At 35.1% G+C, this 17,259-nt stretch overlaps 1 protein-coding gene across 12 annotated transcripts in view, besides 1 other annotated feature; it reads left to right on the forward strand.

Moving 5' to 3' along the window:
- ADAMTS19 (ADAM metallopeptidase with thrombospondin type 1 motif 19) overlaps positions 1 to 17,259 on the forward strand; it is a 278,386-nt gene that overhangs the window by 194,343 nt on the left and 66,784 nt on the right. For 6 of the 12 annotated variants that reach the window (XR_007058587.1, XM_047416878.1, NM_133638.6 and 3 more), the window contains 2 exons: positions 3,977 to 4,097; positions 10,859 to 10,939. Coding sequence is in view for 11 of the 12 variants with exons in the window: in XM_047416878.1 (XP_047272834.1) it covers positions 3,977 to 4,097; positions 10,859 to 10,939 (202 nt within the window). In the remaining variant the exon portion in view is untranslated. Of the gene's footprint in view, positions 1 to 3,976; positions 4,098 to 10,858; positions 10,973 to 17,259 lie in introns of all 12 variants that reach the window. The other 6 variants (XM_047416876.1, XM_047416877.1, XM_011543246.3 and 3 more) reach the window with 1 other exon arrangement.
- Positions 14,651 to 15,189: an enhancer, noted in NCBI's record as "NANOG hESC enhancer chr5:129004984-129005522 (GRCh37/hg19 assembly coordinates)". NCBI's record gives its function as "activates a minimal SCP1, AML or CMV promoter by ChIP-STARR-seq in naive H9 embryonic stem cells {active_cell/tissue: H9 hESC(naive)}" and the evidence as "EXISTENCE:reporter gene assay evidence [ECO:0000049][PMID:30033119]".

The following is a 17,259-nucleotide window of genomic DNA, read 5'->3' on the forward strand; positions in this document are numbered from 1 at the left end:
ATAAAATCTATTACTAACTGAAAGAATCTGAGATTTTGATTGTGTAATATATATATTACAGGTTTAAAATTGGAGCACTTTGGACATTTTATGTCAAAATATTTCAGACCAAAAATTCAAGCACTCTAGTTCTCCATGCTTTGTGTCTAAGACTGAGCCATGAGTCAAAAATCAATAAAATTGACCTTATAACTCATATTCAAGTATCATCAATATACTTGAATCAGATGATTTTTAAATGCATATTCAACTTTCTTTAATAAACATTTTATTTGCTTTTCTCTCTTTTAAAAAATTTCCATTTATATGCATGTATGTGCTTTTCATCTATGTTTAGAAAAAGTAGAATTCCTGTTAAAGTGATTATGAAGAACATAGTGGAGAGATCAAAGTGTAGAAGTGAGCAGTTGCTAGTCATGGTTCTGCCACTGTCTCAAGTTGACATTCCCTGGAAGATTAATATGCACAAAGTTTAATGCCAAGTGTTTTCATGATCAACATCTATGTGGAGATAAGGAAGAGGCAGGTTTGGGCACAGGGTGAAATCAGGTTCTGGTGCAGTCACAAGACCTTAGCTGACCCTGTGGGAAGTGCTTAAACTGGCATGGGGCTTGAGAGTTGTTACCATTTTGGTGAGAAAATCAGGCCATTTACTCTCAACATCTACTATTGTTTGGATACAAGCTGCCCCAGGAAGTGGCTACAACCTTGGGGAAAGCAGGTTTCCTTAGTCTAGATAGTTTCTGATAAACCTTCCAGAAGCAGGAAAGAAATAAATCCTTTGGCAATGAAAGAGGCTGCTGAGTGGAGTGGCACTGCATCCATGACAGCCTTTAGGAAACTGTTAACTGGGCAAATCACTTAAAATATATTTGCATGCATGAACTAATCTGTAAAACAAAGTTGGTAGACCATTGGTCATTGACTTTGTGCTATATACACTCCTTTGAGAATTTGATGAATTTTTTTTTCCTCGTAAAAATGCACAACTGAACACACACATACACACATACCTGCACACAAATGCCAAAAATTGAAAACAATTTCAAGCTATGAATGGATCAATCCATGATCCAATAGAAGTGTATGTACTTCTGGGTAAGAAGCTGGGAACAACACGAAACTTAAATCCTTTCTCAGCTCTGAGATTCCATATTTTGCCAGTAGGCTATAAAGTTTAAAGCATAGAATCATGTAAAACCATTGGCATAAGAAGCAGTCTTTTGACTACATATTAATTTATTTTATTCCTTAACAGAATACGGCAATTACCAAAATGTAGTTTTTCATTAAAAATTATAGATATTTTACCTATACATATTTTGTTTTCAGAACTATATTCTGTACTAGTAGAGCTTTCATCTCATCATTATATATAAATCTGTTAGATTATTGTATGTCTTAAATGAATTTATTTCTTAAATTGTGCATGTCAAATATAATAGCCTAAATTGCTATGCTTTTTACTTAACAGTATTGTATAAGCCAAATTTTTACAGAGTCCCTGGGTAAAAATTAAAATTATAGCAACAACAACAAAGATTTTGCACAAATGCTATGTGGACCTGATGATTATAATTAAATTAGAATTATTTGAAATGGATTGTGGCTTATAATGGCATTAAAACACTTCAAGATTCTGGCTTTTTAATTAAAATGCTTCATTTAGTCTTTCAGTAAAATTGAAAACATGCCTCTTTAGTTTTTCTGACAACCCTCAACAATTGGGGGTTTGACTAGAGAGTTTTATCACTAAATATATAGCACCAAAGCTGAATGTAGCATTCCAGACTTAGTGAACGAAAGGCAATTGAAAGCAGACAACTTTCTCTGGTGACCCATTTTGGTTCTGTGATTTTCTCTTACTGAAAACGATAAGGAAGGCTGGAGCCTGTATGATCATGTTATTTGCGTATCTCCCGCACACCAGTGGTACCTCAGGTACTTGCTACCAGTCACGAGGCATTGCCTCTTCAAAGTAGTTCATCTTCAACTTTTGGATTTATGTGAGCATATTTTGATATGTGTGCATACTTAAAACTACCAATTATAAAATACAAAATATTTACCTTTTATTTTTAAAATATATGATTATTGAACTGTAGTATATATGTCTATTCCTTACTTTTACTTTAGATTTACAGACCTTGTAATATCCTAGTTAAAGGACTGGGAAAAACTAAGAAACTACTAACTACCAACGTATTTAATAGTTGAACTATTACTTACTGTTTTCTCACCATTTGCCAAGAGGCAATCTGGGTACCAGGGATAGAGCAATAAAGATACTTTTATCATTTCAAAAGTACTCTAGCTCTCCTCAGCTTTTTCCCCATTGGAACATGGAAAGACTTTTCTTCTCAATCCAGGACTCCCAGGTCAGGCTTCTGCTTAATGTTCTCTTCACATACTTGGTTGTGTTCTGCTCATTTCCTGTGGTGGCTACTTCTTTCATCTAGACATTCTCTTTATTTCTCCCTGAATAAGCTTTGACTTGCTGATCAGAGTTTTGTGCTAACACTTTGTACCTCTTGACACTGATAGGCCCCGCTTGACAAAAGGAAGGAATGCTGTATTGTGCAGTTTTAATGTGACTTTTGCTCCCAGCACATTCATCCTGCGGCTGCATTTAATAATCTGCTAGCTTCCCCCACCCCAACACCAGCAGCACCAGTCACAAAGATTCTGTTTTTGTTTCAGTTGTATTTAATATTTTAAAATTTCCTCTAAAATAATTGGAACCTATTATAAATGGATGTATCATCAGTCTCTGTTCCAAATCCTTCTTAATTAGGAGGAATTATGTAATACTACCATTTATTTCTGACAGTACTGACATACTAAATCCTGCCCTTTGAGTATGTACAGCTTTGCCTCATCAATGGGAAGTAAACATTATTTACAAGAAAAGAGGCAATTGATTTGGCCTTAGAAGATTCCTATGAACGAAATTCTTCTGGGGGCTTATAAAAATTAATTCCCCAACTGTTCATATTTTCTTAAAGCAGCCATAGGTTGTGAGGAGTTCTTACTCACATTCATGTGCTAGGTGCCAAAGGAGATAGGGATGGATAAACTACAGTTGATTCATGAACTGTAGTAAAAATAAACATCTATGTTCAGTTTTCCAGAAAGTTAATATTTACCATTTAGCACTTACTTTACAATCACTTTAAAAGTTAAGCCATCCATATAGTGAAGTATATCTGTTCCTTGTTGAGTAGAAGAAATTAAACTAATCATGTTGTATTTAATAGAAATGTGATTTCCTTTGAGACTTATGTAAATTGCATTTTTCTCAATAATATTTTTTCCAAATTACTTTATGGTATCATTTAATACTTACTATAAAAGATACTCTAAGCTGGTCAGAGTGGCTCACACCTATCATCCTAACAGTTTGGGAGGCCAAGGCAGGCAGATTACTTGAGCTCAGGAGTTCGAGACCAGCGTGAGCAACATGGTGAAACCTTGTCTCAACAAAAAAACACAAAAATTAACCCAGCATGGTGACGCATGCCTATAGTCCCAGCTACTCGGGAGGCTGAGGTGGGAGGCTGGCTTCAGCCTGGGAGGCAGAGGTTGCAGTGAGCCGAGATGGAGCCTCTGCACTCCAGCCTAGGTGACAGAACCAGACCCCATCTGAAAGAAAAAGAAAGAAAGAAAGAAAAAGAAAGAAAGAAAGAAAGAAAGAAAGAAAGAAAGAAAGAAAGAAAGAAAGAAAGAAAGAGAGAGAGGAAGGAAGGAAGGTAGGTAGGTTATCTCTCATCACTATCTTGGTAATTTTACAGATTATGTTATTTGACATTGGCTTGTGTATTAGCTTGCACCAGAGAATGACATTTTATAATATGACATTTCATAAGTTTTACAATTAAATATATCTGGTTTATAGAGACTAGGTTTGTCCCAAATTAGTAGTAAAACAAGAAAAGAATACTGCTATTTATGATGTGCTGTCACTCTCTTGTTACAGAAAGTTGGCTGTGATGGTTTATTAGGGTCTCTTGCAAGAGAAGATCATTGTGGTGTATGCAATGGCAATGGAAAATCATGCAAGATCATTAAAGGGGATTTTAATCACACCAGAGGAGCAGGTAATTTTTCTTTATTTTTTCATAAATATTAATCCCTGCAATCTTTGGGAACACAGATTATATTGAATTTAACTTAAGAGATTATAGTTCTAATTCTATTGAAGACTTGCAATGGGTATTAAATTATTTTTGTGATGACATACAATACATGTGATATGAGCCAAAAATTCTAACAAGCCCATTTCCCAATAATGCAAATATGAAGTCATCTGTTGTACATTTAATAAGTTGGAACAGCAAGGGAATAATCTAATTTGCATTGGCTAATGTTATCAGGTTTCTACAGACCTTATTCTCCAATGCAAAGAATGATGTCTACTGGAAAATAATGATTTGTAACAGCCTAAAGCAACCATTGAGAATAGGAATCCTCTGGTTTTCAGCTTTCCATCTTTATTTTTTTCTTAATGTTTTTGCTACATTATCAGGGAGTACGTTTTTGGAAACAGAGGGTCCATGACATTGTAGCATACAACCAAGAGGCGTCAGAAGATGTGAGATAATGTTCCAAATAGATTAATAGCAGAGTTCATCCTCCCTTGTTTTCTCATCTATAAATACTAATACTCAGGGGATGTGAGATTGAAATTATGAATGATCTACATAGTATTCATTTAAAGTAATTCACAACAAAATATGATATTGTCTTTACTGAAATATAATGATCCCAAAATGTGCTTTATGTACAGAAAATGCTTTATACTCAGGATCTTAAGCTTACTGGAAAGAAGCAAACATTTTCTGTGTTTACATTAGTCTGTTACCTGGGCATGTGTCTTGCACCCTTAATACTGGTATCTATTTTCATGATTGATATGCTTATATCAAATATACTCTTTTCTTTTTAAAATTATAGATGTGCTTTTTGAGAGAGTGTTACTCTGTTGCTCAGGTTGGAGTGCAGTGGTGCATGGCTCACTGCAGCCTTAACCTCCCATGCTCAAACAATCCCCCCAACTCAGTCTCCCAAGTAGCCGGGACTAGAGGCATGCACCACCATGCCCAGCTAATTTTTTTTTAATTTTGTTTTTTGTAAACATGGGGTCTCACTATGTTCCATAGACTGGTCTCAACTCCTGGGCTCAAGCAGTCCTCCCATCTTGGCATCCCAAAGTGCTGAGATTATAGGCATGAGCCACTGTGCCCACTCCAAATATGCTGTTTTCATCATTGATATGCTTATATTACAGATACCAACATTTTCCTAGTTTAAATTTCTTTTTGAAAAGAACAAGAATTCTAGGCCTAATATATGAATTAATTTTAATACAAAGAACAGGGCATTTATGTTTGAGTAATCGAGAAAACAGTTCATTCCAGATAAAACAGTCCTTCAGAAAAGAAAATTAGTCACCATCTTCTAAAGTATGAATGTAAATTGTTTGCTAGGCCTAAGCAGAATAAAAGATAAGTGAGACTGAACATCTTAAAGCCGAGAAATGAGTAAGGCCTATGGTAAATTGCAGATCAAACTCTTAGTCTTCAAAGTGGTAAAAAAGGTGATAGGTCCCACACATCAAAAATCTGCTGGCACTCCTTTAGAAAAAATAAATAAATAAATACTTAGCTGAAACAGGCTCTCAGACTTTCAACTAAGAAATTTAATTATAATAAGCTTTTTCTGCCTGATTGTGATGGCAGAAGTTTTTTTTATAGTGCAGAAATTCAAAAAAATTTGGAAGACTAAAGAAATTTAAGCATATTAGAGTTTTTAAAGAATATTCTTTCATATTTATTTAGTATGCCTGGAAACAGCTCACAGAATACAGATGCACATTTAGCACTGATGCCTTTATTTAATTGTAACACTTCATATTTCCACTAAGCATAGAAAACAGAAATACCATTAAAAATCAGTGACTCTTTTTACTCTGACTGTAGTTATGTGAATATATATTTTCCTAGATTTCTATTTCAAATCCCTTTTTTATTCCACTTTAATTTCTACTTTTGTTCACTGTAGGTAAGTTATGTTAAAAGCATGTTTATTTGGAAAATATCAGAAGTGCCTAAGATACTACAAATATTAAAGATTAATAAGGCCACTTTCTTCCTTACAACTCTATGTTAATTTCACATTGCTCACAGGGAAGAATTCTTAGCTTGGACCTTAAGGTCTACATGTGTTGTCCCTGTCTGTCTCTCCAGCCTCGTGTCACACCAAGGTCCTCTTCCTTCTCTAAGTTCTTACAGGTGCTCACACTGACCATACCCCCACTGCCACCCAACAGCCTCCGCCACACACACCCACATCTGGAATTTCCAAATGTGTATCGATCAGCTTTCTCTTGGCTTTGATGGATAAATTCCTAGATATCACGTAGTTCTCAGTTCAAATATCATTTCTTTAATGAAGTGATCCCTGAAGTGATACCTGCTATGACTAATGACTATTTTAGTGATGTTTACCACATCTGTATCCATATCGTTTAGCTCTAGTCAGATTTATAATTTTATGTTCACTTGTCTTTCATTTCCCATTAGACCTTAAGCTCAATGAGAAAAAAAATCATGCTATTTTTGTTTAACACCATATTTGCAATTATCAGCATAGTATGCGATCCATTAATATTTGCTAATTTAATAATGAAATGTTAAATTTGTATAAGTTTCAATTTTAAAAATTCTGCATGAGTTATTAATTCTATCACAGGCACCATCTACTTTTGACTTCAGGAATATTGTATTTATTTCTCTTGAGACAATTTTATCCCTACAGTTATGTACTTCCTAGAATTTTTTGAAGGCCATACAGCCCTGTTTGTCCAGTTGGCCACGCACGTTGTATATATTGTATGAGTAACCCACGTGCAAACACACATGGGTGTTTTCAGTCCCTGTGCTCTATTTAGAGTTTACTAAATCATTCTTGTTGGAGCTGGAAAATAAATTCAAGAAGCGTTTTCTTTTTTTTCCTTAATACTTTATCATGTCTTCCATTGTAACTTGCCTAGCCAAGTGATAAATTTTCAGAGGAATAAAAGGCAAATTACATATTGGCCAGTTGTTGAAATGCATAGTTAACCAGTAAATACTAAGAAGAAAATGGGCATAAAAAATGTTTTATTCTTTATATAAGAAAATGAAGTATAAGGAGGACATGCTGTAAGAGCTTTTGCGTGTTTGGTTGTTTGCCACAGCAGTCGGGGAGTCATAGTGTTAACTATTTTTTTCTATTTTAGGAAATAGTTGCAGTGAATTATAGCAGGAAGTGAACAGGAGAAACAGACAGACCTGAGTTCAAAGCTTGGGTCAGCTAAATTACTGACAATGCAGTGTTGGAAAGTGTTTTTTTCCTCTATCTTTATTTTCTCATCATACTAAATTAGAAGTGTAATATCTACCTTGGAGACTATAATTATGGTTAAAATTAATAATTTCTGTAAAGTAACTATAATAATGATTAGCACATAGCAGTTTTTCAAAATATGGCGTTTGTTACTTCGCTGTTGCCATGAAGATGAAGATTGCTATCAACATTTTAAGATGGCTGATTAAAAATGGGATCTCTGGTTATAAAATAGGATGTTACTGTGTGCAAAGTACACACAAGGATCAAATTTACGATATTGACTTCACTGGCTTCATGATCCAACTTCTAAGCTTCTAAGTCAGTACACTGCTAATTGTGCCAAATGGCTTATTTACTGAAAGTATTTAACTCCCAGTCATTGGCTTTCTCTCTTCATATGTGTTTGATTAATACTTTTCTACCTCTCTTCTTGAAAATCAGTCTAACCTGTCCTTTAAGCCATCCCAACTCAATAATAGAGAATCGCTGTAAATATAACTATAAACTTAGATATAACTATAGTTCTAATGTATAACATACCTCAGAGAGTACTATTAAACTCAAACAAGAATTTGCACATACTACATCTACTTTGTTATATCTATTCTTCTTTTTTAATATTCTGAAGTTCAACATCTGCTCCCAACACTTTGCTGAACTCATTTGCTCGGAGATTAACAGTTATCTCTTGATTGGGACACTCAGAACTGACTGTCTTTAGTCACCTTTCTCTTTGATGCCTCATGTTTGACATACAGCTTTTGACAGTTCACCAGCAATTCTTCTTGAGATATTCTCATCCATAGGGTCCCACTTCCCAAAACAGATGAGATCTCCTCCTTCTCATGATTCTTCTTCATTTTTTTTTTTTTTTTTTTTTTTTGAGACAGAGCCTCACTCTGTCACCCAGGCTGGAGTACAGTGGCACAATCTCTGCTCACTGCAACTTCTGCCTCCCGGGTTCAAGCGGTTCTTCTGCCTCAGCCTCCTGAGTAGTTGGGACTACAGGCATGTGCCACTATACCCAGCTAATTTTTTGTATTTTTAGTAGAGACGGGGTTTCACTGTGTTAGCCAGGATGGTCTTGATCTCCTGACCTTGTGATCTGCCTGCCTCGGCCTCCAAAAGTGCTGGGATTATAGGCGTTAGCCACCACGCCCGGCCCCATTCCTTTATCTTTTTTCCCGATTTATTTTTATCTCTTTGTTAAAAACTATGACCATCACCAAAGTTAAGGCCTTGACTTCTCTTCTTGATTTTCTCCACTTATTTCCATGCCTTAACTTGGTGATTCTGCAAGGATATCTTGAAAAGCTACGTCAATAGCATGACTTTTCTCTAGATTCCAGATGTTACAGAGTTCTTACTGGATGTTTCTACTAGTGCGCTGTACCATTTTGTTAGATACAAATTGCAAAGCCAAATTTATTCAGTTATTACCAAAACTAGATGATTTCTCTCTTGACTTCCATGTTCCTGTAAATGATGCCCCATTGTCACATAACTAATAATAAAGCATTGTGTTCAATATTTATTATACCCACTTTCTTTTGGTTACTAAGTTCAGAAATTTTTTTCTACAGAGTATCTTCTGGATTTTCTCCCTTAGCCTCCACTACTCCTGGATTTTACCATTAGTGTCCTGACACTGTTACCCACAACTATATCCCTGTTCCTCTTGGATATCACTGTTAGTCAAAGCCTCTTAAAGCCAGAATCCAATTACCAAGGTCCTTGCTATAGAATGTTTGATAGTTTCAAATTGATAAATTCATTCTCCTGGGCATGCATTTAAACTCTCTTTAATAGAGCCACTCTCTTAAATCTTCTCATTCCATCTGAATTATTTTATTCAAGTGCCACTAACCACACCACATATCCCTTACTCTTCCTTATACACAGTGAACTCATCCTTTTTCTGTATGCATGTGAATGCTACCCATTCTCCAAAGGCAGTTCATCTATTTACTTTTTTGTGAAGCTTTCCTTTATAAGTTGTTCTCTCCTTTGAATCATAGTGATTCTGTCTGATGACAGTGTTTCCCAAGTATGAGTAATTTTTAACAAGGAAAAAAAAAATCCTACCTCTGTGAATAAAAATAGCAGTGAAGCCTTGAAGGTAGTAGCTTAAACAACTCTGGTTTATAACCTTCAGCAGAGAATTAACCATATCATTTTGCATATTACCTTTTTAACATGATATTTGCCATTGTATTCAACTCATTTATATAAGGTAGTTATGCCTGTCTTTCCAGTTCAATTATAAGCTCACTGAGGGTAGAGATCATCTTACCTGACTTCTGTGTGCAAATAGCCATTATGCATTTGTTTCCATTTTAATTGCTGCGTATTTTGGTCATGTGAAAAAATGACAGTGCTTTTATGTTTAGTGTTACTGAGAATGGCTTAGTGTTGCTGAAATGTGCAATTCAATAGTTAATTAAATAAACAGTGTTCTTGAATGGAAATTATGATTCTAAAAGCACATGCCACTAATTCCAGCCACTACCACCAGGGGGGGTATATGCTACCTTTTGGTATACGCCAAATAACTCAACAGTCTCGGGAAGATGAATAATTAATAAACAGGAGACAACTCTGGAATTAGCTCTTGTGCCTTTTCTAAAGCTTAGAAGGTAGACTTTTATAAGATACATGGATCTTCACAGAACTACTAAGAACAATATTTTAATATAATTGGAAAATAACTTCAAGCAAAAGTAGGCATCTGTTCTCACTATTCTGCACTAAGTGAAACTTGAGTCTGTATTTTTCTGCACATTTTCTCTTATCTCACTTTACCTTATCATTTTATTTCTCTTCAAGTATTATATCCCTACATCTGCTGAAAAATGTTTCCTGAGAAGCACCTAATCATGTCTTGGGTCTAGCTATCTGACATCTTCAGAAATGACCCTAGATTGCTTGGCGCGACCTTACACTTTCTGTCTCCGGCATCGGTTTCAAAACCCTTTGTTAATATCCTCCAGAAAATGCTTGGTCTCTAGTGTCCTATACTTCAGTACTCCAGGGATTTAGTCCAGGCCTGCTATATTTTCTCCGGCTATATATTCTTTTTCCCCACACTTTCTAACCTAAAGAAGTTCCCACAACAAAATCTGAGGTTATCTGTTCTATTTCAAGATCCACTGTGTTTCTAACCAGGCTGTTCCACTGGGTTTTTTTTTTTCCCTCCTCACAATTCATAAGGTATCAATGAGATTTTTTTGTTTGTTTTACATAAAATAAAAGTGCCTGTTTGTCCTCCGTAGTGCTGTAGGCTCAACATGTTTCCAAGAAACTTCACTGGAAATCATGACAGCTTTTATATATAAAAATTTTTCTTTACGTAAGTACTGAAATATCATAGCAATAACCAAAACCAAAAGGAAAACAAAAGGCAAGTCAATGAAGAAAAGAGATTTTGAAGGAACTCAAGATTTATTTCATGTTTTATTGACTCTTACAGGTTATGTAGAAGTGCTGGTGATACCTGCTGGAGCAAGAAGAATCAAAGTTGTGGAGGAAAAGCCGGCACATAGCTATTTAGGTAACCTGTGTTACAGACACAGAGAAGATCCAAGTACGAGCCCAACTCCCTGCCCTGAGAGTTCTATGATGAGGAGGAAGTCAATCTGTTTCTAGTTTTATGTTTGAACTTCCCAGGAACTATCTTTTGTCATATCAAGTAGGAAAATTTTTCCTTCTCTCCCAAGGACTTCCCAGGAGCAAAAGCAATCTGGTTGTCTGTATGTTTTTGAGGGGTAAAAATTGCTTCCACATGTTAGTCCAAGATAAAAAAACAAAACAAAACAAAAACCTCATTGAATGATTTGGGTATGATTTATATTCATATATATATATATATATATATTTCATAAATATATTTATTTCACATATATACATACATTCATATATACATATTAATTGCATTTATAAATGAATTTATGTATATATATATATAAAATGATCGTTTCGTCAGGAAATCTTGTGGCGTTTTTGAAGTAATGTTCTACATACTAAAGGACTTGATTTTTTAATGGAAAAGGGTTCTCTCTCTTGCCTCATTTTAGGAAATCTCACCTATGAAGAAAACATTTTTAAATTTTTAACTATTCCTTATGAAAAGTACTGTATCAGTTATTTTAATAGTTTAATTAGGTCAATTCATGATTTTAAATATATGAAAAAAATACTAAATTGTCAAAATATACGTGCTCATATGTTAAAGTTTCAATCTAATTAAGTCATGTGAAATTAAGTTTTATCTGGCATCCAGAGATAGAGGGACCTAATATGATTATGTCAGGCAGACATTTTTCCAGAATTGTAACACTGTGTTTGTATTATCTTTACATACACAAAAAAAGCTCTCAAGCCTATTTTTTTAACAAAAATAATGTCCTCCCTATTTTTTTTCTTTAATGAGCAATAATGTTCCAACAAGGAATCCTTTGTATATAGAAACAACTCAGCTTACGTGATTGTTTCTACTCTGCAGTATCAAAAATACATAATCTAAACTCAGATTGAATTTTTTTCAATAGGAGTTGAAGTCTAGGACTAGAAAAATTTGAGGAAAGGGGACTGTAAAAGGAATTCTTTATCATGTGACACACTCATTACCAATTATTACCATTTGTTCCCAAAATATGCATTGGTATTTAATCTATTTTACTTACTATGGTACAAATAGATCATACAAGATTTTCAAATACAGATTAAAAGTCCTGATACCCAGTTTTTAGAGACACTGGCCATAATCTAGACAATTTCAATACATTCATTCAATAGCAGACAAGTTGTTATTACACTTGCATGTATGTTTTCTTTTTTCCAAGCTGGAAAGGAATATAGATATCTCAAATGGAATTTCTCAATTATACAAAATTCTAAATTATAATATGGGTTTTAGTAACCTGACACATGTGGCTAAATAAGCCAGGCAATATTACAAAGGTGACATCTTCATGCTGTCTCCAATTTCTTACCTCCCAGTCTCTTCAACCAATCCAGTCCTGTTTCCTGTCTCCCTCTACAGTAAACGCCTTTTATAAGGTCAGCAAATGCCCTCCATGTTGACAAATCCAATGTTACTTGACCTGTAAGCAGCATTTAAAACTGTTGACTTCTCCTCATTTCATTAAACACTTATAGGACCACTGGATGCCACTTACTGGTCTCTTTTGTGAGGTCTTCAGCCTCTTTGTTTCCAAATATTCCCATACTATGGGGTTCAGGCCTGGGTCCTGATCTTTTCTCTGCTATATTCTGTCCCCAGGGAATTACATCTAGCTCTATTGTTTTGCATGTTTATTTGATGTAAATTATCAAAAGTTTCATAGGTACCTCAGAAATAATAAGTCTGATATAGTTTGGATGTTGTCTCTTCTAAATCTCATGCTAAATTCTGATCCTCAATACTGGAGGTGGGGCCTGGTGGGAGGTGATTGGATCATGGGGATGGATTTCTCACAAATGGTTTAGCACCATCCTCTTGGTGCTGTCCTCACAATAGTGATTTCACGTGAGATCTGGTTACTTAAAAGTATGTGGTATGTACCCCCCACCCTCCTGCCCCTTGCTCCCTCTCTCCCCATGTGAGATGCCTGCTCCACCTGCACTTTCGGCCATGATTGTAAGCTTCCTGAGGCCCTCATCAGAAGCCAAGCAGATGGCAGCACCATACTTCCTATACAGCCCACAGAACCGAGAGCCAATTAAATCTATTTTCTTTATAAACTACCCAGTCCCAGGTGTTTCATGATAGCAGTGCAAGAACAGCCTAACAGAAAGTCCAAAATCAAAAGTCCAAATAAAAAATTTGATTTCCACTCCATGCTAAAACCTCTTCTTCCTTTGGTGTTCTCCACTACAGTGAATGTCACTGCATTAGTGTCCTATGCCTACTATAACAATTACTGCAAACTTGGTTACTTAAAACAACAAAAATGTATTCCCTCATAGTTCTGTAGGCCAGAAGTCCAAAATCAGTTTCACTGGGCCAAAAATCAGTGTTTGCAGTGTTACACTATCTCTGGAGACTCTAGGAGAACATCCATTCCCTGCCTTTTCCAACTCTAGTGGCTGCCAGCATTCCTTCGCTTGTGACCTTGTCACTCCATTGTCTACCTGCATGGTCTCTTTGCCTTCTCCTTTCCTTCTATGTCCAAATTTTCCTCTTCTCTCTTATAAGGCCTCGTATTTAAGGCCTACCTGGATAATTCAGGATAATCTCCCATCTCAAGATCTTCAACTTAATATCTGTAATTTTTTAATGTGCCACAGAAGGTAATTATCTAGTTTGTTTGTGCTGCTATAAAAATACCATAGATTAGGTAGCTTATAAACAACAGAAATGTATTGCTCATAGTTCTGGAGGCCAGGAAGTCCAAGATCAAGGCACTAATAGATTTGGTGCCCTTTAAGGGCTCATTTCCTGATTTACAGATGGCATCTTCTTGCTATGTCCTCACATGGTGGAAGGAGCTAGCTAGCTTTCTGGGATAAGGACACTAATCCCAATTATAAGGGCAGCGCTCTTATGACCTAATCACCTCTCAGAAGACTCCACCTTCTAATGCTTCTAATTCTAACGTGGGGTTAGGATTTCAACATATAAATTATGGGGGGGGACACAAATATTCAGACCATTGCAGTAGCATTCATAGGTTCCAAGGATTAGGATGTGGGTATCTTTTTCCCCCTCAATAACATATTTTTTATTGTGGTAAAATATATATCACATAAAATTTACCATCACAGCTATTTTTAAGTGTCAAGTTCAGTTAATTCAGTGGCATTAAGTACATTTACATTTCAATGAAATCTTTTGAAGGAATACAAAAAACCATTTTAAAATTCATGTGAAATTTTATATACGGAAGTGACCCTGAATAGTCAAACCAATCTTGAAAAAGAACAAAGCTGGAGGATGCAGACTTTCTGATTGCAAAACTTCCTACAAAGCTATGGTAATTAAAACAGTACGATCCTGGCATAAAGACAGACATCTAAACCAATGGAAAAGATTAGAAAGTCCAGGAATATATATATGTGTATATATATATATATTCAAATGATTTTCAACAAGGGTACCAAGACCATTCAACTGAGAAAGGACAGTCTTTTTCTCCGGTGGTGCTGGGAAATCTAGATATCCACATGCAAAAAAAATGAAGTTGGACCTTTGCCTAAAACTATATGAAAAAGCTTTTTTGTCCAGGGCTTTTGATTTTTGATTACTGATTTAATCTCCTTGCTAATTATAGGTCTATTTATGATTTCTCTTTCTTCATGATTCAGTTTTGGTAGGTTTTGTTTTGGGAAGTTTGTACATTTCATCTAGGTTATCTAATTTATGGTCCTAAACTTGTTTATAATACTCTCATAATCCTTTTTATTTCTGTAGCATTGATTATAACAGCCTCACTTTCATTTCTGATTTTAGTAATTTGAGTCTTGTCTTTTCTTTTGTTCCCTTAGTCAGTCTAGCTAGACTTGTTAATTTTGTTGATCTTTTCAAAGAACTATCTTTTGTTTTGTTGATTTTTCTCTATTGTTTTCTATTCTCCATTTCACTTATCTCTAATCTAATCTTATCTGCTTTCTTCTACTAGTTTGGGATTCAGTTTGTTGTTTTTTTGAGATCTTTCTTCTTTTTTAATATAAGAGTTTATAGGTATACATTTTCTCCCTAGGAAAACCTTTGCTGTGTCCCATAAGGTATGGCTTTGGCATGTTGAGTTTTCATTTGTCTCCAGATAATTTCTAATTCCCCATGTGATTTTTTTTTCATTGTTGCATTGGTTGTTAGTGTGTTGTTTAATTTCTACAAATTTGTGCATTTTCTGTTTCTGTTTTTGATTTCTAACCTCATCCCTTTGTGGTCAGAGAAGATATTTTGTATGATATTTACCTTTTAAGAGCATAGATAGATATGTGGTGGGGGGTTGTTATTCAGCTCATCATATTCACTAATTTCTATCCAGTAGTTCATGTAAAAACTGACAGTCTTCCTTGATCCTTCACTTTCTTTACTGCTCTAATGTGACGCATCAGGAAATCATTTCAGTTACTCAAAATTATTACTTTTTCTCTGTATACACTGACCTCTAACCAAGCCACTCTGTATTACATTGTCCTGCTTTATTTTCTGTATTGCATATCCTTGTCTGAATTTTTTATTTGTTTAAATTCTTGCTTTTCTAATGTCAATCTCCATTGTTAATTCTGGAAGGCATTTTGTTCTTTTGTCTACAATATCTAAATCAAAGTCTGGCACACAGGAAATTATAGACTTTTTGAGTGAATTTGTTTAAGAAAAAGATGTTTCACACTTGGTTAGTATAGGCCAGTGCATTACATACATCCATAAATCCTCAGAATACCTCTATGAAGTAGGCATTATTAATTTCCCAGTTTTTAAAATCTGGTAATAGAGTAACAGAAACTTTAAGTTTCTTGCCCAAGGTTACACATCTAAGAAGCTGTGAATCTAGATTTGAACCCGAGGCATCTGGGGATAGCATCTGGGTTCTTAGGCACTGAACCATGCTGCCTCCTTTTTAGTTTTCTTATTTTAAGTAATTGTCGTCCATGCAACACTTGTGATTTTAAAAAGTACATGTCATATTTGAACACATTTTCTTTAAACTTATCCCATATAACCTCTTTTTCCCCCTTTTAAACCAGGGTGATCAACTAATTGTATAGAATTAACTCAGAAGGGTATAAATCATGAAATGACTGTTTTCTTCTCTACTCACTGTCTCCAATTCTACTAAATCCCATCATTTTTCTCTGTTAGTGACCTCTAAACATAAGTCTCCAATCACTCTTTGTTTTTAAAAGACCACTCAGTTTAAAAGTTGAATCACATATCCGTCTCAGTTAGTTACCGTAAATTCTCCTTGTGCTTAGCCTTAGGCCTAAGTGAGCAGGGTCTTTTACTTGTAGAAAGAAACACCATCTATGCCCCTAAACAGACTGAATGCTGCTCTGGAGATTAAATCAATGTTGAAAATACTAGTAATATGTTACCATGTTTATTCAAAAACACATTTCCTTACTTGCTGACTCAGAAAAAAATAATTCACCTCGGATGAATCAGAGGAAGGGTGCCTTGGAGCACACATTCTTGGAGGGAAAGAGACCGGCTGCATAAACCTAACTAGAGAATAGAAATAGGAAACACCCAGTAGCTTCCAGAGACATTGAAGAAGTTGAACTGATGGAACTTGCTGAAAAATAGATGTGAGTGTTGATAGAGGATAAAAATTCAAGGATGACTTCTAGGTTTCTGGTAAGTAATAGTAACACCAATGTAGGACACATGGATGAGGGGCAAATTTGGAATAAAGAAGAAATGACACTGTGTTGAAATCACAGATTTCAGGCCTAAAGACTTGGCAAATAGATGCATTTCATAAATCACATTTCCTAAAGGCTCCTTTGGGTATAGGAAGGAAGTCATTGGAAATATTCATCTTGAAATAGCTTTAGCAAAAAGAAAAGAAAATAGAACCTTGGCAAACTGATCATTCTTAAAGAAATTAACCTGTCTACATCAAACTATATATTATTTTATAGAGATAATTAATCCCTTCCCAATACAATTATTGTTTTTCATCATTCCTTCTTTAAACTGTATTCTTAATTGCAATTATTATTTGCTTTTCTGAAGATTCTGGCATTATTGTCTTGTTCGTAATTTATCAAAAAGCCTAAAATGGAAAATACTTCAGATAGACCTATGTTATATCTTTGCAAAATCATTCCATCTCATGAGTTTTTTAAAAAATCTCAAAAAGGTCATATGGGTCTACTTACCTTCCACGCAGTTTTGTATGTAAAGCACTATGGACAACT

The sequence above is a fragment of the Homo sapiens genome, chromosome 5 (assembly GCF_000001405.40).
Source record: "Homo sapiens chromosome 5, GRCh38.p14 Primary Assembly".
Lineage (NCBI taxonomy): Eukaryota > Metazoa > Chordata > Mammalia > Primates > Hominidae > Homo > Homo sapiens.